Raw genomic sequence first — 24,123 nt, forward strand, 5'->3', positions numbered from 1 at the left:
ACTAAAATGAAAAGGAAGAAATAAGAACTTAGTGAGGGTATTTTTTTTGCAGTAAAAAATACCTAACATAAAGTTTAACTATTTTTAAGTGTACAGTTTAGGGCATTAATACATTCACGTTGTCATGCAACCATCACCACCATCCCTCTCCAGAACTTTTTCATCACTGCAAACTGAAACTCTGTACTCATTTGGTAAGAACTCCCCATTGGCCCCTCCCCACGCTCAGTCCCTGCCATCCACCATTCTACTTTCTGTCTCTATGAATTTAACTACACTAGGTACCTCATATAAGGGGAATCATATAATATTTGCCTTTTTCTGTCTGGCTTACATCACTGAGCATACTTTCAAAGTTCATCCATGCTGTGGTATGTGTCAGAATTTCATTTCTTTTTGAGGCCGAATCATATTCCATTGCATGTATATACCACATTTTGTTTACCCATTCATCCACTGACGGGCATGTGGGTTGTTTACACCATTTGGCTATTGTGAATAATGTTGCTATGAACATGGGTATGTAAAAAGCTCTTTGAGACCCTGTTTCCAAATTATTTTGGGTTTACACCCAAAAGTGATAATGCTATGTTTAATTTTTTGAGACCCAGTGAGTTTTCTAAAAAGAGGGAGAAGGAATACGTTCCCTCCAGAAAATTACTAGATAAATGTAAAAAATCTGATCATTTTTAAAATTACTATATTGTACCCATTTATGTAATAGATCTTACTGGCAAGGATCACCAGTGGATGCTAATGGGTGGAGAACAGGATGTGCAGAGAGTGGTGAATGTCACCCTTCATATTACTTATTAATCACAAGACAAAGATTCTTGTATAGGTTGGTGAGAAAGTAATCGCGGTTTTTGTCATTGAAAGTAATGACAAAAACGGCAATTACTTTTGCACCAACCTAATGCAATGACAAGATCCAGTGGAAACCAAATTATCCCAGTGATCAAAACTTAGCGTCAACAACAGTGGGGCAAACTGGCATAAAATGCCTCTTAAAGTGTCTAGTGGGAACGACACATCACTACGTAGTAGTCTTTGTTTTTTAATAACAGTTTTCTTGTGATAGAATTCACTTTTCGTATTTACAATTTAAAGTCTACAATTCAATTATTTTTAGTATATTCACAGGGCTGTGCAACCATCAAAATAATTTTTAGAGCATTTTCAATCATCCTCAGAAGAAACCATATATCCATTAGCAGTCAACCCTCATTGCCTTCCAACTCCCCCAGCTCTAGACACTCACCAGTCTTCTTTTTCTCTCTATTGATTTGCCTGTTCTGGAAATTTCAGATCAATGGGACTATACAATATCTGGTCTTATGTGACTGGCTTCTTTCATTTAACACAGGTTTCCAAGGTTCATGCATGTTGTAGCTTGTGTCAGCGCTTATTATTGAATAATATTCCAGTATATGGACGTTGCACACTTTATTTTATTATTTTTGAGACAGTCTTGCTCTGTCACCCAGGCTGGACTGCAGTGGTGCAATCTCGGCTCACTGCAACCTCCACCTCCTGGGTTCAAGCGATTCTCCCACCTCAGCTCCTGAGTAGCTGGAATTAAAGGCACCCGCCACCATGCCCGGCTAATTTTTGTATTTTTTAGTAGAGATGAGTTGCAGTGAGGACTCTATTTCAATATTAAGGAAGAAGCATTAAACAGATGAGCCTGAACATGATGGGAGTACCCCACAGTCCTTCCTGCCCTCAGATGGGTACTGTGGCAGTTAGGTTTGGTTCCCAGTTAATGGCCTCTGGCCATCTCACCAAGGAGCAAGCCTCCACCCCCGACCCAAGATGCCCCTGGGAGAAGTGATGGAATGTTCCCTTTGGCCCTTTTCGTATCAGGCCCCTAGGATATAATTAGGAGGCAGCTCCCAGAACAGATGTGTAGGGAGTTAGGTTGGAAAGTTTCCATGCAGAGAAAGGGGAAAAGAGGGAAGACGCTGGTTGCCTGGAGACATTTATGAGTCTAAGATGATTTGATAAGTGATGAAGCAGCCCAGCCCTTGGTGGGGGAGGAGAGATGCTCTCAGAACTAGCTAAGTGAGGGAGGCACCAGTTTCTCTCCATATTAGAGTTGCCCAGTTAGAGTTGGATCTCAAGCCCCTGGATTATAGGGCACCATGCATTTTCCCATTCCAAAAAAAAAAAAAAGTTTTTATTTTTTTTTAATACAGAGGGGAGTAGAGGTTAAGAGAACCTTCCCAAAGTGACCATCATCTTATGAAATCCCAGAATGTCCTCATTTTATTATTCTCCAATTCTAAGACAGCTCCTCCATTCCCCCTATAGTTCAGAAGCTAAAGATCATCTGGTCAAGTTCTTCTGGGTTACACAGCTAATTAGCCATAAAGGTACAATTTCAATTCCCACTTTGCTCCCTGGGATACACCTTGCTCTTAGACTCCAAGAGTGTCAGTCAAAGGGTTCCTAAACCTGCATAGAAAACAGAGGACAGCTCTGCTCCCTATGGGTCCCATTCTTCAGCTTCCTGCAATTAAAGGCTCTAGGGATGAGGCCTATTCCTCACTGAGTTGGAGAATGGGAAGCGTAACACATGTGTGTGTCCTGCAAAGATAGGAGAGACAATGTACGCATCCCCCTTTTTCCTCTTGTGTTTTTCGCATCTGAATGAAACCAAACTCATGAGCAAATCTGGGAGTCTGAACAGCTTGCAGGCGAAAGGAGTTGAAATCTGTAACATAATCCAGGCAGAATCCCAAGTGGGCACAGACCACACGCCCTCACAGCCCTCACTCACCAGAGGCCTGTCTTCTGGCCCCACTCTCTCCTCCTCCACATCTATCCCCACCTCCATGTCTGCCTCTGTCAACAAAATGGCCTATTCCTGCAGCCTCAGTGAGCTGCTGATGTGACTAATGTAATTTACATGGAGGCCTGGAGAAGCAATCAAAATGAACTTGGAACTTGTGTTTTAAGGGTCCAGTCAACCAGAAGGCCTCTAATTTGGCACAAAATGTTACAGATACTCCCCAAAGGCAGAAGGTAGACCCTCGATAACTGTTTGATGAATGAATAACCTCATGCCTGTGCCGCCATGGGCTCCGTATTGGCTGCCTCCCGGCCCTACCTTGGAGCCTCCCTCAAGCTTTCTAAGAAGGAAATGGCTCGAGGTGACAGAGCCCCCACTGCCTGCTTGGCCCCCACTGTCCCCCACTGTCCCCCTCACTTTGCCCAGTGTTTCCTTCCAACCATACAAATCCAGACCCAGAAGCACAGGCATGTACACAAAAATATTTCCAGAACACAAACATACGATTTATTTAACAAAAATCTGTAATAACATAAATTATACACTCCACACCCCCAGGATAACTTCATGTGGATTTGAAGTCAGTGTTAAAGGGACTAGAGGAGTTTTAGTCACTCTTCTCAAAGTTACTACTCATATCTTAATTTTAAACTGCTAATATTTATTTTTAATTAAAATGTAGCATTTGGGTTTTTTATGTTTAATGTTTTAATAAACAGAAGTAAAAAGAAGAAAATTAAGATGACTTACCTCTGCAGAGATAATCTTATTCTGCAGAAATAATCTCTATCCACATTTTAAAAAGTAAATTGAACAGAAAAATTAACAGGGAAATTATCTTTTCCCACTCCATTCAAAGGTAATCATTTTTACAGTTTCTTATTTCTTGAGAAAATAACATATCTGTAACTATTTATGTATTCTTTATCAAAGGTATCTCATACACACACAAAGGGATATTCATAAACACATCAACTTCTTTCTATACCTCACTTCTCTCATGCCTGTTATAGATTGATAATCTTTTTATATCAATAAACATAGCTTTACCTCGTTCTTTTTAAAAATTTAAGCATTTGAACAAACCCCCGCTAAAAGGCATCCCATTTAGACCACTCTCAGAATATACTATCCAGATTTTATTTGATTTTTACTGGCACTGGTTCGAAGGTCACTGTCATGCTTTGTTTCAATTAGCAAAATAAATTTGAAATAATCTCTGGCTTGTTTACTTCTCTTCAAGGAAAATAAAAAAATATTTTCCATGCAACTATTTCAAATCCACTCAACAGAAGGTTCTTCAATCCTCAAACTTTATCCAGTGAAAGCACTAATCCTGATATTTCTCTAGTTTCTTTGATGGCATGACCCCTTGTGTAAATATTGATAGAGATTACACTGACAGTTGTGTAAGCCAGCTGGATCCCAGCCAGGGACAAAGGAATTTATAAAAGGCCAGGAATAGAGAATCCAAGACAGAGAATCCCCCAATCACCTCATTTAGCACTTTCATAATCAGATCATTAAATGATACCCTAACACTACACAAGGCCTTGAATCACCCATCAAGAAGCATACAGAACAATAGTTAGCAGCTCTGCCTGGGACGTCAGGCCTCCTGGGCTCAGTTTCCCACTCTGACATCTGCTACTTGTGTGATCTTGGGAAAGTTATTTACCTCCACAAACCTTAGTGCCTGTATCTCTAAAGTCAGGGCAAGTGATAGTACCTACATTGAAGAACTATTTAAGATAAAATCATATATTTCCAATAAAGACTGGCACAGAGTGCCTGACATGGATTCACACTCATTTTAGCGCCCAGAAGTATACACAGTCCCTGCCCTTAGGGAGCTCACGAAGTACTGGAAGAGACAACTGTGATGGGTCTATGACACAGGGGACACACTCAATAATTCCGTGAGGAGGCACAGCAATTGCATGACACTCCTGGCCTCTGCCCCTTCCTCTCTTTCGCACCACTCTTCCAGGTCATTACAGGACTGCCCTGCTGGGTGAGGCCTGAGTCTTCCCGAACACATGATGACCTTATAGCTAAGTCCACCACATTCTGGGTTTAGGACAAGTCCTCACTCCAGTTATGAGCCATGCTCTCTATACTTCAGCATTAACCACAATACATTTTGGTCACCTTATTGTTTGCTGTTTGGTCTTATCCTCAATTTCTTTAAAACTTGGTTGATGAAAAGGGTATTATCTATTGAATATCTCTCCTAGTTCATAAGCAAGCCATTGTTCCCTTCAGCACTTTTTTTTTTTGGCCCTCAGGGATTCTAAAACAGCTGTCTGGTGTCTCTGCTTGAGAAGTCATTGTCACAGACTTAACTTTTCCTGGAAGGGTACATTTGCAGCTCAACAAACACATCCCAAGAGCTAAGCATGGCCAATCCCAAGCTTCCCAAACTAAGTTTAGGGCCCCATGCCAGGCTTTTTGGTTATCTTGCAACTCAGAAGCAATATTTCCAATGGCCAAATATTTCTTTGGAAAAAGACAAACATGGCCATGTGGACCCCTGTTGCTTTTTGCCCGATATCACAGTCCCATAGTCAAGGAGGCAAAATTCTATCCCATGGGAGAACAGCTGAGCACGTCCTCTGAGGTTGTGGATACTACCACCTAGATGAATCTCTCAGATACCTTTGGGTTCATAATATTGTCTTCACACAGCGTCTTAATATCATTGACTTCACGTTTATTGAGCCCGAAGGGATGCAGAGGTAAACCCGACATGATTCCCCATCAAAGAACTCTTGGTCTGAAGTGGGAGAGATGCATAAATTAAGAATTATAATGTAATACGAAGGATACTGGGCATTACAGGTACACTGGAAAGAGTATCTAACCCAAGGGTGGGTGGGTGGAAAAAGAAGGTGTCAAAGAAAGTCTTCTATAATATCAGATTTTTTTTTTTTTTTTTTTTTTTGAGACAGAGTCTCACTCTGTCCCCCAGGCTAGAGTGCAGTGGTGCGATCTCGGCTCACTGCAAGCTCCGCCTCCCGGGTTCACGCCATTCTCCTGCCTCAGCCTCCCAAGTAGCTGGGACTACAGGCGTCTGCCACCACGCCCGGCTAATTTTTTGTATTTTTAGTGGAGACGGGGTTTCACCGTGTTAGCCAGGATAGTCTCGATCTCCTGTCCTTGTGATCCGCCCACCTCGGCCTCCCAAAGTGCTGGGATTACAGGCATGAGCCACTGCGCCCAGCCCAGATTTCTTATTTAAGACAAATAAATGAAGTTAGCTATTTATGAGTACAAAGGAAATCAGTTTCAGGACGTTCAGGCAGATGGAGGATGTGAGATGACAGTGAGGCCTGGGAGAAGCAGGAAACCACAATCCAATAGGGAGAGGAAATGAGGCTGGACACTGCGAGAGACACGTTCAAGAAAGGCCAGAATGTGGCCTTAAGGTCAACTGCATGGGCTCATAAAAAAATCACATTCCTTTGCCCCAGGAATGAGTTCTTCAGTGGATAGGCTTTTGGCAAACTGGCCTGCATCTATGTCAGGCACTGCAGCTACAAAGGTGGGGAAAAGTAGGCATAGACCTTGGCCTTCATAGATCTTCCATTCTAGTGGAGGACAAGAAAGACGTGGGCAGGCAAAGAGGAAAGGGAAGCAGAGAGAGGAGCATGTGGAAAAGTCCTGGGCTTGAAGGAGCATTGTGAATACAGGGACCAAAAGAAAGGAGGTCACTGTGGTTGAAGCTGAATGAGCATGCGGCAGAGCCGGGCAGCCACTGCTGCCAAAAACCACAAGGCTTGCAAAAATAGTAAAAGAGAGGCTGTTGATCTGCTATTGGGTTCCCCGCCCTTAAAATGCCAAAACTATGTTATAATAACTTGAGATTTCTAATGGTGTTCATCTGGAATTCAAAAGGTATTTGTTTGTTTGTTTATGCATTGCCTTTGTCTGAGAGCTGGAGGAAACAGACAGGAATACAGCATTGCTCTTGAGGAATTCAAGAGTGAGCTGGTGCCAGTTTCTGTGGCTCACGTCAGTAATCCCAACACTTTGGAAGGCCAAGGTAGGAGGATCACTTGTGTCTAGGAGTTCAAGACCAGCCTGGGCAACATAGGGAGACCCCATCTTTACAAAAAAATAAAAAATTAGCCAGGCCTGGGGGTGTGCACCTGTAGTCCCAGTTAGGAGGCTGAAGTGGGAGGATTGCTTAAGCCTGGGAGGTCGAGGTTGCAGTGAGCCATGATCATGCCACTGCACTCAACCCAGGCAACGCAGCAAGACCCTGTCTCACAAAAAAAAAAAAAAAAAAAAAAACCCAGAGCAGGAAGAGACAGCCATGTAACAGAGTTTCACACTATGGGGAGAGATGGGAACTAACAGGGGCAGGTGGTACATGACCCGCAAGCAGAGAGTCACTGAAGACTTAGAGGTCTCCAGGAAACCTTTACTCAAGGATCTCCTTCACAAGGCAATGGACCATTAAATCCTCGAAGCTTTGTAATATCAGACTAGTTGCCCATTTTGTCTTCTCTTGGGCCCAATCTTTAGAAAGCACTCTTAGCTTGTGCTATTCATTTCATTCGTATAACAAATATTTATCAAATGTCTACTATTGCTATGGGTTAGGTCTCCTTGTCTAAGTTTCCTAGGTGAAAATTATTATTTGGCATTATCAGTCATTCATATCAACCTCTAGTGGCAGAGATACCACTCACTTGGAGGCAGGGAAGCAAAACTGTCATAGATGGGTGTTCATAATCAAAGTAACACAGGTCAGCCGGGCATGGTGGCTCACACCTGTAATCCCAGCACTTTGGGAGGCCAAGGCAGCTGATCACTTGAGGCCAGGAGTTCGAGACCAGCCTGGCCAACATGGTGAAACCACATCTCCACTAAAAATACAAAAATTAGATGGGTGTGGTGGTGTGCACCTGTAGTCCTGGCTACTCGGGAAGCTAAGGTGGGAGAATCACTTGAATCTAGGAGGCGGAGGTTGCAGTAAGCTGAGATGGCACCACTGCACTCCAGCCTGGGCAAAAGAGTGAGACCCCATTGGGGGTGGGGGGCGGTAGGGGGCAGGGGAATGTAACACAGGTCTTGACCTGGCATGGGGGTTAGGAAGGACATCAAGTTACACCTTTGTGGACAGTGACAAGAGTAATCTCTGGCCAAATATATAAAATCAAAACATCTCTTACAACAATAATGACAACCTGTCTCTTAAAGATGGGAAAGTGAGGATCGTGGTTGAAAAGAACAGGCTCTTGATTTCCCTTAACACAGAGCCCACTGTTGGCTGGACTCAGACGTGTGAACAGCCAGAGCCAGCCAAGTGCCTGGTGCAGTTTGGACCTTTCTCTGCTAGTGAGAGAGTGGAGGAATCACAGAAATGGCACGTTGGTTAGGGAAAATCGTCCTCCAATCATTTAACCCTCTCATCGCCAAATTTAACAGAAATCAAGCAACCTGAAAAATATCATGGGAATTCTTCCTCATCTTCCTGCCCTTCCGACCTGAGCTCTCTGTGAGGACTTTCCTGCCCATAGATGCTTGTTCTTATGGTGTGGAGATGTGTAGGAGTGCAGGAGATGCGGATGCCCACGTTTCAGGGAGGGGCCGCTCATTCATTCATTCATTCATTCAAAAATAGGGAGCAAGGGGCCACCCATTAATTCATTGTTTCAAAAATAGGGAGCGAGGGGCCACCCATTAATTCATTGTTTCAAAAATAGGGAGCGAGGGGCCACCCATTAATTCATTGTTTCAAAAATAGGTATAAAGTGCCAAAAAAGAGGTATCATCAGCAGGAAGAGGGTGAGGACGCACCTGGAAGCCACACACATTGGAGGACACAGGTTCTTCACTGCAAGTCTGTGTATGTGTATGTATGTGTATTTCTGGTGCTTATCCTGGTACTTTTCTTTTTTTTTTTTTTTTTTTTTTTTTTTTTTTTTTGAGACAGAGTATCACTCTGTCACCCAGGCTGGAGTGCAGTGGTGTAATCATGGCTCACTGCAGCCTCGACATCCCCAGGCTCAGGTGATTCTCCCATCTCAGCCACTTGAGTAGCTGGGACTACAGATGCACACCACACTCAGATAATTTTTATATTTTTTGTAGAAACAGGATATTGCCATGCTGCCCAGGCTGGTCTTGAACTCCTGGGCTGAAGCAATCCACCTGCCTCAGCCTCCCAAAGCATTAGGATTACAAGTGTGAGCCACCATGCCTGGCCATATCCTCATACTTTTTTAATATGTCTGAAAAGAACTCTTGTATTATATGAAGTAAAACAGCTTATATTGACATATTATGTATAACATTGTACTTAATGCAGTGTCTTATTAACTAGGAAGCCCAATAAAAGAAGCTTTGGTGAAAAAGGTAGCCTGTTCAGGACACAGCAGAATGTGATTTTTCACTTCTGAAGGTAGGTTACTCACACGTTTAAATTTTGTAATATCACCAGGAGCCAACATAGCCCTCAATGGAGGAAGGGAATAAAAACACTGAGAGTTTTGGGGAGCCACCCAAAACTGTTGAGGATAAAAATGACAGGGCAGGAATTTCACTTCAAGCCAGCTGTTGTCCCTTTCTAGTATACCAAGAGCTAACTTGACCTTTGGAAGAAAAACTTTCTCATTTGGAGTAATTACTAACATTGTGGAGGGCTCCACACATCAGTGAATCCAAATAATGACCATCATGATGATAAAACCCCAAAGCAAAGGCAAGTCTCTACACAACTTACCTGGGAAGACATTCTAGATCAACACAAAGCAGAGATACAGTGGGTGGGATCGGGAGTTCAGAGCCTTGGGGAGAACTAGGGGCTGCCACTGGTCTGTCATAATGGTCTCCCACATGCCATCTTTCAACCACTTCTACTGCCTTCAGGATAAAAGGAAGGCAGCTAACTTAGAGGCACTCAAAATACATGCAGAGTTATTCCTGTTATCATCAACCTTTTTACAATCAACCACAACTTAACTATGCAAATGATTAGAACACTAGTGGTGTTTTCTTAAAAGAAAATTTAGAAAAATCAGTCATCTTCTTATCTTTAATGAATTGTGTACCCACACACAGAAGCAAATAACTTCCTAACCAGGTCATATAAAGGGCCAAGTTACACAAACCAGCCCATATCTTTACTTCTAATTACAGATGCCATTTTTTTAAAAAGAGAAAGTGCCATTATTTTAAAATTTGATTTAGATAAAATACGCAGTTAAACATAAAAGATATTTTACATCAGTTTTAGATCATCTTAAATTAAACCTGACAGGGTTTTGGTGTCAGAAATCAAGGTCAAGTACACAAGATACAATGTCACAAAGCTCCCTGAAAACATTGTGGCTGTCAAAAAGAAGCATCAGTTATAAAAGCAAACTGTCTTAGCTTCTAATGAATATGCTTTTCACTCTAAAGGCAGGTTTACTGATAAAACAAAAACAGAGGCCGGACAAGGTGGCTCATACCTGTAATCTCAACATTATGGGAGGCCGAGGCGGGTGGGTCACCTGAGGTCAGAAGTTCAAGAGCAGCCTGGCCAACATGGTGAAACCTCATCTCTACTAAAAATACAAAAATTAGCTGGGCGTGGTGGCGGGTGCCTGTATTCCCAGCTATTCGGGAGGCTGAGGCAGTAGAATCACTTGAACCTGGGAGGTGGAGGTTGCAGTGAGCCGAGATTGCGCCACTACACTCCAGCCTGGGTGACACGGCGAGACTCTGCCTCAAAAGAAGAAAAAAAAATTAAAACAAAACCAAAGCCAAAAACCTTTTAACAATTTGTTTATATCGGATTAGTTAATGTATTCCGTTTAAAACACATGTCCCCTTCCCTACCACCAATTTTTTTTAAAAAAAGCTTTTAAACAAAGTTAAATAATTCATGTTCTCACTTATAAGTGGGAGCTAAACAATGTATACACATGGACACAGAGTATGAAATAAGAGACACTGGAGACTACGTAGGGTGGGAGGTGGTGAGGGAGGAGAGATTACTTAATGGGTACAATGTACACTACTTGGTGATGGTTACACTGAAAGCCCAGACCAGACATGGTAACTCACACCTGTAGTCCCAGCACTTTGGGAGGCTGAGGTGGGTGCACACCTGAGATCAGGAGTTCGAGACCAGCCTGGCCAACATGGCGAAACCGTATCTCTACTAAAAATACAAAAATTAGCCAGGCATGGTGGTATATGCCTGTAATCCCAGCTACTCGGGGGACTGAGGCAGGAGAATCACTTGAACCTGGAGGCGGAGGTTCTAGTGAGCTGAGATGGCGCCACTATGCTCCAGCCTGGGCAACAGAGTGAGACTCCATCTCAAGAAAGTAAAAATAAAAAAAGAAAAGCCCAGACTTCACCACTATGCAACATAGCCATGCAATAAAACTGCATTTTCACCCCTTAAATTTATTTTTTTTAAAACTTTTAATACAGAGGGGATGCTTTCTAGAATAGTTTGCCTAGGATACTATTGCAGAGCTTATTAATCAGTTAATAAGCAAATCGGCCCCTGAATTCACTAATACCAGATGAACACCTGAATCCCTTGGCAGGACTCCAAAACAACCCCAAAAGGGGAATTTATCTCTTGGTACATGTTTGAGGCATTCATTGATCAGTGAAGTAACTGGATGTTCAGAAAATGCAATTCTGAAAGAAGAACAGCACAGACACACCTCTGTCGCCTTTTTATCGCCAGAGAACTGGGGCACAGCTCTGCTATGGGAAAGCAAATTCTGAAGGACTTCGGATCTAACGAGCATGTTCCTAGCATCACTGATAATGATTCTAACATTCACAAAAGACGTGAATTATGAGAGTGTTTCAAATGTTCCCCTTTATATTTTAGGATAGCAATATAAAGTTGAATACTTATTTATTTATTTATTTATTTGAGATGGAGTCTTGCTCTGTTGCCCAGGCTGGAGTGCAATGGCAACATCTTGGCTTACTGCAACCTCCGCCTCCGGGGTTCAAGAGATTCTCCTGCCTCAGACTCCTGTGCTTGCAATTTAAAAGACTCAGAAAAATATTTCACATGTGTTGGACGGATGCATAAGTGTTCAAATAGAATGATGGCCTCACTAGTTTCTGGATTGTTTGTAACTTTACAGGATCTCCCTTTTTCATTAGGTTTTAAAAGCATTTCTTTGGATTTTGTAGGTGCATACTCAGTTCTGAGGTAGGGGAAGGAATGGTCAAATCAATGTTATTACTCATCATTGGCTCCCAAACTTCCTCATATCCCAGTTCAGGCTTAAAGGGTAGTGGGTGTTTTAATTGTGACGGCAATCAAGAAGAAAGTTCAGTTTCTTTCCCATCTTATTCTTTCCCATTTTCCAAACTCTTATATTTCAAGCTCTGATTACAGCAGTTTTCACACTAAAGTAAACACTGATTAATCAGAAAACTGTTGGGATAAATGGAAAAGCTCCTGCCTAGAATTTTGGTGGAGAATTTGTTGTTTGTTGTTGTTGTTGTGACAACAGGTAGAGCTCAACAGAGTACTTGGTAAGGAGAAAAATGGACCATGTGATTTTTAACACCCACCAGGACATGGGAAGCAGGGCCTGAGTTTAACATTCACCAGAGAACCAGCAACCTTGGGCTACGGCCAAAGTTGGAACATTGGCCTCTGTGTTCCCAAAGGTTCGTGCAGAATCTGAATTTTTCAAATTGGATGAGGAAGTGGGACAGAAAAATTTATTTAAACAGATGTTTTAAAAAGTAGAACATAAGAGGCTCTTAAAATACTCCCAGCCCCGAAAAACTCTCCAATAAAAAAGTGACAGAAATTAACCATTTTCACTGAACTCTGACTGATTTCTTCACAGGCATCCTTAAGAAATTCTCCTGGAAATTCAGCCTTCCACTTTCTGAGAATGGAAAGTGGAGCTGGAGGAGTTATTTATGCATAAATGTGAGACCTTATCGAAGGGCTTTCTGGTGTTAGAAATATACTCTCCTATGATCCCGCCCCCAAAATACTACACTTGATTGCTTAAATATGAAGTTAGATGTTTGATGCTTATGTTTTATACTTGATGAATTATCTCAGTAAATCAAAATATGTATTAATGATTAGTAAAAATACAAACTAATTTCCTAATATAATGTCTTTATTTACTCACAAGCAAAATCATATGGTACATATTTTTTTTGAGATGGAGTCTCACTCTGTCACCCAGGCTGGGGTGCAATGGCGCGATCTTGGCTCACTGCAACCTCTGTCTCCCAGATTCAAGCGATTCTCCTGCCTCAGCCTCCAGAGTAGCTGGGACTACAGGCATGCGCCACCACGCCCGGCTAATTTTTATATATATTTTTAATAGAGACAGGGCTTCACCATGTTGGCCAGGCTGGTCTCGAATTCCTGACCTCAGGCGATCTTCCTGCCTCGGCCCCCCAAAGTGCTGGGATTACAGGCATGGCCCATATGCTATTTTTATTATAAACAAAGCCTACGCTTTCAACCTGTTATTAATACAATCTGCATCTCTGATTGTCTTATCCATCAGAAGGAAATTACGCTTTCTATGTAGCAACAGTAGGAGAAGGCAGGCAAGAAGGCGCCATTGATGAGACCTTGAGAGAATGCGCTGCAGCTTCTTCCTCTGCCCCCATCCGCATCTCAGAGCTGGAACTCTGGGCATGAGGCTGTGCTCTGTTCCTGAAAGACTCAAAGGAAACAAACAGCATTTGCTGTGTTTGTCACCTGGAGATTCTGTCAAGGCTAATCTAACCAAGGCAGCCCAGTTCGGCTGAACACAACAGACACTGTCAATGCTGCCCGCACCATTTACCTTTGGGTGGAGATTAATTAGGTCACTCCATGGAAAAGATTACCAGAAATCTCCCTTCCTGCTATGGAAAGGTTGACAGAAAAGCAGAATCCAAATTGAACCCCTTCAAATTATGTTAAGACACATATTTATCAGTGGTTCTCGACCCTGGCTGCCCAATCAGAATCACCTGGGAGGGACCTAAAACTCAATCCACATGCTCTGGCTGCCTTCCAGAGCATTAACTCTGAGCCTGTGGGGGTGATACTCTTGGCATTGGCGTAGCAGCCCCACAGGTGATTCCAATGTGCAACCAAGACTGAGAATCATTGTTTGGGATGTTCTAGTGCCTGATAAACCCAGCAGTAGGAAGAGGAGGAACTCCAAGGGACTGAGTGATAAAGGCATCCACTTACCCAAGTGTAGGACCTGCAAAAACTTCAAACAAAATTCGCAGAGGCCTTGTGAGTCGATTCAAATAAAAACATTCAACCTTTTAAGAGTGGTGGTTGACTGGACAGCTCAAGTGCATAGACTCAACTGGATTTTGAATGCAGCAAAAGCTTCTAATGGAAGAGTAAAATGCTTTCTGAAGACAAATCCAGTCCTCACACTTCTAGAAACATTGCCTTCTAAATTAGATACTTGGAGTGGAATGGCAGGCAAAATAATCCCCTTACCGTTTAATTATTGTATTTGTCCATTCTTGCATTGCTAAACAGAAATACCTGACACTGGGCAATTTATAAAGAAAATACGTTTAATTGGCTCATGGTTCTGGAGGCTGTACAGGAAGCAGGGTGCTGGCATCTGCTCGGCTTCTGGGGAGGCCTCAGGAAACTTACAATCATGGCCGAAGGTGAAGGGGGAGCAGGCACATCACATGGCCAGAGCAGGAACAAGGCTGGGGAGGGAGGAGGTGCCACACGCTTTCAAACAACCAGAATTCACGAGAACTCACTCACTGTCATGAGGACAGCACCAACCGGATGGTGCTAAACCATTCATGAGAAACCACCCTCAGGATCCAATCACCTCCCAACAGGCCCCACCTCCAACACTGGGGATTACAATTCAACATGAGATTTGGGCACAGGCACACATCCAAACCATATCAACTATTAAATCTTCTTTAAAAAATCTGTTTTGGTTCTTGTCATGATTGCCCTTACAATTAAATTTAAGTCCCGTGCAAATACAACATGACCCCAGTGTAGTTTGGCGCTCCTCTAAGCAGAGCAGAGGGGCAGCGAAGGAGCTAGGGTCAGCTGTGAAGAGCCTGTAGGCCTTCTTTTTTTCTCAAGATGACTGAACATGGAACTAACGTGTTTTTGAGATGTCAGGTAGGGCTGACCTTTGCCCTTGGGAAATTCTGTATCTACATCATGCAAGCAGATTCTGCAGAACCTTTAAGGGGTTCATATTTTTTTCCTTCACTGTAGGACAGGCCTAGAATGAGAACTTCCCAAGTTCAAGAGACTGCAAACAGCAAAAATTATGATGCTTTTCTGGCTTCTGTGAAATCATCACAAGTAAACATGAGTTATAAGCTAACTCAGACTTAGGAACCCTGCCACTGAGCAAATGCCTTTGTAATATTTATTCAAGAAGTCATAAATTCAAATTGCTCCCATAAAACACTCTTGAGAGACATTCATAAAAATTAAGGTTTATCAACAGAGTGAGCAAATACATATGAATCATTTCTTTTTAATAAAATAAGCAGGCAAGGTATAAGAAAAAATCTTCAAGGCTGTATCTTAATTGAAAAAACATGTTAGTTAAAAAACAAATGCGGAACTAAATTTCCGATAAATTTCCTTTAATAAGTGGCCTGTCAAGTAATAGGCAAAGACTTTCAACAGCCTAGCTGAGCAATAATCTCACTAACATTTAAAATAAAACCCTCTAAAACCACTTTAAATTCTCTTCTACATACATAAGAAAATGTTCCCAGCTCTGAAAGAAACAGAAACAAACAGAAAAAACAGCAGATAATAGAGAAATAAATACTCAGCAATAAGTAATGAGAAGACTGCACCACTGTGAAAATAAAAGCTGAAGTTTTATTCTTCCCTGACATAACTAACCAATTGTTTCAAGTCATACGATACTTTGTAAAGAAGATAACATATAGCATGCCTCCTAAACCATCACTGAATACGACTGAATCACTAATCAGTTTATCATTTTATGACCTAAGCATGGTACTTTGTCACAGTTTCATGTTTGGAATCAAGACTAGCTCTGAGAAAAAATTATTAGAAATAACAGCCACAGGAAAATGATAGAGAAGAAATTGATGAAAATGACCTAAACAAGTAATAAAAAAAATGAGCTTATTTCTGATTTTTGAACCTGCCCCAATAATAACCTTGTGTTTCTCGAGGGTCATTTAATTTGTAAATCACTTCCTTTTGCTCATAGTGGCTTATGAAGTAGACAGAGCATGTCTCATTTAACAGGTAAGAAAATGGAAAAACAGAGATGGTACGGCTTCCCCAGGACCAGGGTCAGCAAAGTACACCAACTGATTAAATCCACTCATGGACTGTGGATTTTTTACATGGCCCATGAGTCAAAAATAGTTCTTACTATTCTCAACTGTATTCTTAACTTACTATTCTTATTATACATTCTGTACGTAGAGTTTATAATTGAGCCACACTTATTCGTTTACTTATTAGATATTGCCTATGTCTGCTTTCTGCACTACAACAGCAGAACTGGGTAGTTCCAACAGAGACCATATAGCCCACAAATATTGACTCCCTGGCCCTTTACAGAAAAGTTTGCAGACTCCAGCCCTAGACCCACAGTAGAACCATGAGCAAAGCCCAGATTTTTTAGAGCCAATCCAGGGTTCTTTCCATTCGACCTTCTGCCTCTCCTTAAGCCATTTTAGCATTCAGTTCATCCCAGGTGTCAGTTTGAGAAAGTTTATGCAACAGGAATTGAGATACTTGAGCCAGACATGGCAAGAGAGGAGGAGACGGGAGGTACAATGGACTTGTATCCTAGTTTCACAGTCATGGATGGAGAAGAATCCTGCCCAGGGATGGTTTGTTCTTTTTTTTTTTTTTTTGAGATGGAGTCTCGCTCTGTTGCCCAGGCTGGAGTGCAGTGGCATGATCTCCGCTCACTGCAAGCTCTGCCTCCCAGGTTCACGCCATTCTCCTACCTCAGCCTCCCGAGTAGCTGGGACTACAGGTACCCGCCAACACGCCCGGCTAATTTTTTTTATTTTTAGTAGAGACGGGGTTTCACCGCGTTAGCCAGGATGATCTCGATCTCCTGACCTTGTAATATGCCTGCCTCGGCCTCCCAAAGTACTGGGATTACAGGCGTGAGCCACCGCACCCGGCCGTGCCCCAGGATGGTTTGTACCCAGAATCTCACCCATACCTAATTTAGACAATGAGATTTGGGACTTTTTTTAAAAAAAAAAAAAAACGGAGTTTCACTTTGTCCCCTGGCTGGAGTGCAGAGGCACCATCTGAGCTCACTGCAACCTCCACCTCACAGACTCAATGGATCCTCCCACCTCAGCCTCCCAAGTAGCTGGGATTACAAGTGTGCACCATCACACCCGGCTAATTTTTGTATTTTTTTTTTTTTTTTTGGAGATGGGGTTTCACCATGTTACCCAGGCTGATCTCAAAACCCTGGGCTCAAGAGATGGCTGCCTGCCTCGGCCTCCCAAAGTACTGGGTTACAGGCACAACCCACTGTGCCTGGCCTGATTTGGGACTTTTTGAGTTGATATTTGGATTAGAATTGGGTCTTAGAGTTGATGCTGGAATGGGTTGACTTTTAGGGATGTCGGGATGGAGTAGATGTATGTTGTACATGGGATGGACATGAATCTTGGGGAGCCAGAGGGGTTGAATTGTGTTCCCCCAAAGCTCATGCTGACCCAAAACTTCAGAGTGAAACCTTATTTGGAAAGAGAGTCTCTGTAGATGCAAGCAAGATAAGGTCATACCGGATTAGGGTCGACCCTAATCCAGCGACTGGTGTCCTTGTAAGAAAAGGGAAATTTGGACACAGAACCAGAGAGGACAGTGCTGTGGACACGCAGACACAGGGAAGAAGCCAGGCGAAGGCAGAGGCAGAGGCTGGAGGCAAGCATCTACAAGCCAACGGACGGCAAGGATTTCCAGCCACCACCAGAAGCTGGGGAAGAAGCCGACAACAGATTCTCTCAGAGCCTCCAGTTAGAACCAATCAACCTTGGTTTTGGCCCTTTAGCATGACAAACTGTAAAAACAATAAATTCTGTCTTAGGCCATCCAATCTTAAGTACTTTGTTATAACAGCCCTAGGAAACTAACACAGATTAGGGGGCAAACGGAGATGGCCTAGACAAAATAATTAAGGTCAAGAGAAAAGGAGACAGTGGTAGATGTCAAACCACATAAAACCACTTTGTTTAAAATATAAACTGAGTACTCTAGAAGCTCATGAGGAAAAACAAAACAAAAGCAAAAACCTAGAAGCTTTGATAACTAAGCTGATTAGGTTTTACAAACGCTGCTGCCAACGTAAGCAGAAGTGGCTTACACAGGAGCCTTTTCTCCTCAGTGGGTCTGTTTACAAACCCATCCTTGAATTCCAAGCTTTGCCCAGTCACCTCACCATGACTGGTAAACAAAATGTATTTTACAACAGGGGAAAAACAGATGAACTGAAATCACCCCCCAAGAACATTCCTGCCTCTTCACTGAAGTCATCTTAAATCTCCACAGAAAGCCTAATTTTTAGAGTACATTAGAAAGGGTAAGTAAAAAAAGAACTGTACCTTTTCAAAAAGATACAGCAATGTATAAAGGAATCATCTCAGTCACTTCTAGAATCTCCTAGTGGCTCAGTGTGTGCCTCTCACCTTACTTCACACCAGATATACCATAGGCCAAGCTTGTCCAACCCATGGCCCGTGGGCCACAGTGCAGCCCAGGACAGTTTTAAATGCAGCCCAATGCAAATTCATAAGCTTTCTTAAAACAGAATGAGATTTTTTGCAATTTTTTTTAAGCTCATCAGCTATTGTTAGCGTTAGTGTGTTTAATGTGTGGCTCAAAACAATTCTTCCAATGTGGCCCAGGAAAGCCAAAAGATTGGATACCCTTGCTGTAGGCTAATTCACCCCACACAATTTTTTTGTTTTGTTTTGTTTTTTGAGACGGAGTTTCGCTCTTGTTGCCCAGGCTGGAGTGCAATGGTACAATCTTGGCTTACTGCAACCTCCACCTCCCAGGTTCAAGTGATTCTCCTGCCTCAGCTTCCCTAGTAGGTGGTATTACAGGTGCCTGCCACCACACCCAGCTAATGTTTTGCAATTTTAGTAGAGACGGGGTTTCACTATGTTGGCCAGGCTGGTCTCGAACTCCTGACCTCAGGTGATCCCCCTGCCTTGGCCTCCCAAAGTGCTGGGATTACAGGCATAAGCCACCGTGCCCAGCCCACCCCACGCAAGTTTTAGCATGACTCTGTTACAGGGTGAAATTGTAGGCAAGATGTGTTCCTTCATTTCTTCAGGACTGCAAGGAAATGATAGTAAAGACATAGATTGTAGAGATGAGGTAAAGGCAAGTCTGAAATTTGGTGCCTACTGTGTTTTCCTATGTAATCCCATAGAAATTTAAACTGATTGCTTTAAAACTTTTTTTAATCATATATATATGAGTATAGGTGCCACAAGTTCATAATAAAGTTGTCCTTAGGGGTCCATACTAAAGCCCATGCAATTCTGGCATTTTACTAGCTAAATTCCTTCTTCACAGATCCACGAGAGACCCATCTGACACAGAATTTTTCTCTTTATCATCATGTCATGTTGTAATTTGGTATCAATTATTTTAAATAAACTCTTATTTCTAATCTAGTTGCTTAATGAACTCAGACATAGTATTATTCTCCTCTGGATTTGCATTCCAATATACCATATAAAATTTTACTTCCTCTTCCTCTCTCTTTCCCGCCTCATTATTTTCCTCTGGTTTTCAGCAGATTTGTATTTTAAGTAACTGGTGGTGAGGGGAAAGCAAATGGCAGCTTGACACCAGCACTTTATGGGAGCACATTGCTGGCTGGGCCATTAGCATTGTGCTCACGAGCCATCACTTAGTTCCCAAGAAGGGTGAACTCCCAGAACAAACAAACAAAACCCACTGAATTCTCTGAGTAGTCTGCAGCAATTAGTGAAAACATTTCCTGAGACTGGGAATTCTTGAAACGCTGGCCACTGTAAACCCAATGTCCCCATTGCTCCAATGAAGAAATTAACTGGGTCTCTTAGCGGAAAGAGAAAATGTATGACTTCCTTTTCTCAGCGCCGGAAATAAGGAACCTAAATAACAGCCCAAACTTTGGAATCCCTGCACACTGGGTAGCCTCACGCTACCACCATGAGAGAAGTCCTGCAGAAAGAAGACCGGGGGCTAACTAAATTCCTTAAACTCCTCTCAGTGATCCCCACACCCCAGGGAACAAGAGCTTCTTCTGGCATCTGACCAAAGCACTGAGGGAATCTTTGTGCTAACCAGAGTGGGCAGGCATACATTCACAAATAGGGCAAGCACTCCCTAAGCACGTTACCTTATTCTGTTCACACACATACTGTATCCTTAGCGTGTCCATCGCTCTGATCATGGCTTGCATGGCGGTGAATATGTTTTGGTAAACCAGCTTCGTGAACCCCTTTCTGTCTTCGTCGCTGTAACCAGACCCATGGATAATTCTCATCTGCTTGATAAAGGTGCTTTTCCCACTTTCACCAGTTCCTATAAGACAAAACAAGTGGAAAACGCTGTCAGCAGACTTCCAAAGGAACACACGAAGAAACAGAGGACCTCCTGGCAGTATTAATCCACATCCCAATTAATAGGCTGATGGGTTGGATTTGGAAGGGACTGCCAAATGGTTATGCAGTTTTCGGTTACAGAGCAGTGCCAGCCCAAGCCTCACGCAAGTGCCATCCTCAGTCCAGGGAAATGCTTCCCCACATCCTTGCCCTAAGTCCTTGAAAAACAGGCAACCATGTCTGAAAGACCTAAGCATTTGAAAGCTTTGTCACTGCGAAGATGGCAGTGGCAGTGATAGGGCTGCGTCAGGGTGCAGGGAGGGTTTGAGCCATAGGAACACTTGGAGGAGAGAAAAAGGCTCATGAATCAGTCAACTCCTTCCTTTCAGATACACAAATATTCTTCATCCCTGCACAAGAAAGCACCATTTCCCAGAGGTGCCAAATGTCTATGTGCTTGCTTCTTTTCATGTCTCAACACGCAGTTCAGGAGGTCCTCAAAACTCACAACACTTGCACATGGCGGCCAAGGAACGTGTTACAGTATGAAGCCATCCCTATTGTTCTTAAATGTGCATTAGAGGTCCAGATACAACATATGTGAAAAATGACATCAAAACTCTACATTCATATTAGATTGAGAGTTTATTTGAAAAGGTAGTAAAAGTTGCAGTATAAGTGATAGCAATTTAGACAACAATTAAAATATTTGCTAATATTTTCTTTGATAAAGATAATTTATCATATGGCACCCCTTTACCATGTTTGGAACATGATGTGTCCTATTCATGGCTCCTCACAACCACACACACTTGATGAAATATATGCTATTGCTGATACAGGTCAGACCTGTGTCCCTACCCAAATCTCACATTGAATTGTAATCCCCAGTGTTGGAGGTGGGGCCTGGTGGGAGATGACTCGATCATGGGGGTGGTTTCTCATGAATGGTTTAGCACCCTCACCTTGGTGCTGTTCTCATGAGAGTTCTTGCAAGATCTGGTTGTTTAAAAGTGTATGGCACCCCTCCCTCCTCACTCTCTCTTGCTCCTGCTCTGGCCACATGAAGTTCCTGCTCCCCCTTTACCTTCCACCATGATTGTAAGTTTCCTGAGGCCTCCCCAGAAGCCGAGCAGATGTCAGCATCATGCTTCCTGTACAGCTTGTGGAAACGTGAGCCAATTCAACCTCTTTTCTTTATAAATTACCCAGTCTCAGGGATTTCTTCATAGCAATGTGAAAACAGACGAATACAATTATCATCTTCATTTTACAGATAAGAAACCTAAGATTCTAATTGGTTAAATAATCTCTGCAAGCTCCCAGTCGGCAAGAGAAAGAACTGGGATTTACTCAGAATTGAACTACAATGACCAACTCAATTATTAGAGAAAAATGTCTTGGTCTGATCTAAAGGGGACAAACACAAAGTTCACAGTCACACACTGAACCTCAAACCTCAGCCAACCCACTGTCTTGCAGGCTCAGGCTGCTGGGGCACATGGGAGAACCCCCAGATGGGGGAGTGTCCTCACACACAGTCTCACTGGCCTTGTTTCAGCCTCCAGAGACAGGATAGGTAGACACTGTCCTCCCATCTCAGAGACCAGAAAACTGGTAATTAGTCAGGGGACAAGCCAAGGTTGGGTGCAGATGCAGAATTGGGGCTGGAAGTCAGGTGTCAATGCCTTGGCCTTCAATGTTCACCACAGACATCACATATCCTAGAAAGGATTTCCTTCCCCTGCATGCCACCAACAGTTAGCCCTGCCTGCTTTAGGCCCTCAAAGTGCCTTGGATACCCAGAAGCAGCACATCGCCTAAATGCTTGCTTGCAAATATATCTCTCACCATACCTTTCATCCAGTAAAGGCAGGGCCCGAGATTCACACATTTGGGCACCACGAACAATGTGCCTGCTTTATAGAAAGCACCCAAAGAAATGGTCAATGAAGGATTGAATGGAACAAACATGAGAAGTCAGCAGCTTTCCCCCATAGGTCTTATATCATGGACAACCTCAGAAAAACGAGACATGAATTGAACAAGGATAAACTGTGATGAGACCACGTGCCCCTGGGAGCCACCATTTCATAATGACTCTTGGCTGCACAAACCCTATATGAGAAGTGAGGACCTGTAGAAAGACCTTATACTGTCCAAGCTTGATTCAAAGTCCCAAGTCAGATTAGCTCTCTACTCCTGCAGCATCTTGGAGTCCCTGCATGTGACTATGATACTGCCACGTCGGTCTCTTATTCCACCCGGCAGAGTTGAGCTACAATCCAGTGCTAGATTACCCCAAGCGAACATTAATATGGCTACATTTACACATTGTGAAGCTGATGTGAATGCAGAGATTATGTAATCACCTCAAGACAGGCTGTGGTTTTGGTCCTGAAGCCAGAAAAATCACTCAAGACACACCCAAAAATCTACACTAAGAGAATCTTTTTGCTAATAAGAGCCATTCACTTACAATGTTATTAATAGTTAAAGCTAACCCCACCACCAGCCCCAAACACACAAACATTTTTTAAAAGCCACCCATTTTTTATTTCAGACATGGAGTATTTCAAAAAGAAAACGTTAGAAGTGATTTTAAGGGTTCATACAAGAGAAGATATAGATGTATTCAATAAATACCCATATTTTAAAATATTCTTTAGTTTTAAATTGTGGTTGTTCAAAGAATTAAAAAACCAAATGCGGAGCAAAAGAGGGCAGAGTAAAGGCAAAGAAGAGAGACTGAAAGACACACAGCACCGAGGGCTGAGAGAGCAAAGAGACTCACCTTGCGGAGATCCTCCACTCTCATTTAAGCCTCAGCATCACCCAGCTAGTGTATTTTTTTTTTCCAGAAGGGAAATGGAAAATCAGAAAGATTAAATTGGTTGTCCAAGGTCACTCAGTTTGGAAGTGTCGTGGCCTGGGTCCAAATGCAGGTTTATGTTGGTGTATGCACGTCCCAGGATAGCACCCCTAGTTATGAGCTGGTTTTTACACTGCTTATTTCCCCCAAGTACATGGTCTCATCCATCGCTCCCATCAGCTTACGTGCAGTCTTCACCTGGTACAGAGATTTCAATCCCTGGAACTTTAGCTTTCAGCCTGCAGAGATCTGCTATAAATAAGATGGTCCCAGCAGCAGGTGAATGCAGGGGAAGGTAGATGATGGCATCAATCTGTCTTATAATGACAGCAGTGACCAGGACCACAGGGACCAGTTTAACTCAAGCTAAGGATCTCAGTTGAGTTTCCTCACTTGTTCTAAACAGAAACTCAACACTCAGACATCAAGTATATGACTGTTCATTTATTCACAAAAAGCAAAAGAAAAATCCAAAGGGTATGATTTTTAGAGTGAAAATTATTGGTGACTGGAGGACTCGGTGACTTAGATCCTACATCCTACCTAACTACCTATTAGAATATGTGGTTTGTTTCAGTAGCATGCGTCCGCTCTGCCTTGTTTTTTTATCTCTTTGTGAGGAATTTCTCACCCGCACCCCCACAAAATGCATGTGCTGGTGGAGGGTCCTCTGCAGCCTGAACGGCTACACACAGTGAAGACAACAGGAACCCTCACCCTGGCAGCAGCTTTTTGGTTTACAAGGAGTGGGAGGTCTTTTAACTGAAAGGTGAATTTTGGTGTCTGGTTCCAAAGGGATTCACTTAGATGTAATGAGGCTAGGGGTGGAGGGGTCACAGTCCAGAGGGCTTGCAATCCTGGACCCAATCCA

General features: G+C 42.8%; 1 protein-coding gene and 1 long non-coding RNA gene across 2 annotated transcripts in view; one reads left to right on the forward strand and one right to left on the reverse strand.

Moving 5' to 3' along the window:
- Positions 1 to 17,869, forward strand: part of GNA14-AS1 (GNA14 antisense RNA 1) — a 79,114-nt gene extending 61,245 nt beyond the window's left edge. Inside the window, exons 3-5 of the long non-coding RNA NR_121184.1 lie at positions 8,550 to 8,651; positions 9,129 to 9,206; positions 17,608 to 17,869. This is a non-coding gene — a long non-coding RNA (GNA14 antisense RNA 1). The remainder of the gene's footprint in view (positions 1 to 8,549; positions 8,652 to 9,128; positions 9,207 to 17,607) is intronic.
- GNA14 (G protein subunit alpha 14) overlaps positions 1 to 24,123 on the reverse strand; it is a 225,244-nt gene that overhangs the window by 85,815 nt on the left and 115,306 nt on the right. The window contains exon 2 of the mRNA NM_004297.4: positions 20,176 to 20,360. Coding sequence (NP_004288.1) covers positions 20,176 to 20,360 — 185 coding nt within the window. The remainder of the gene's footprint in view (positions 1 to 20,175; positions 20,361 to 24,123) is intronic.

The sequence above is a fragment of the Homo sapiens genome, chromosome 9 (genome assembly GCF_000001405.40).
Source record: "Homo sapiens chromosome 9, GRCh38.p14 Primary Assembly".
Lineage (NCBI taxonomy): Eukaryota > Metazoa > Chordata > Mammalia > Primates > Hominidae > Homo > Homo sapiens.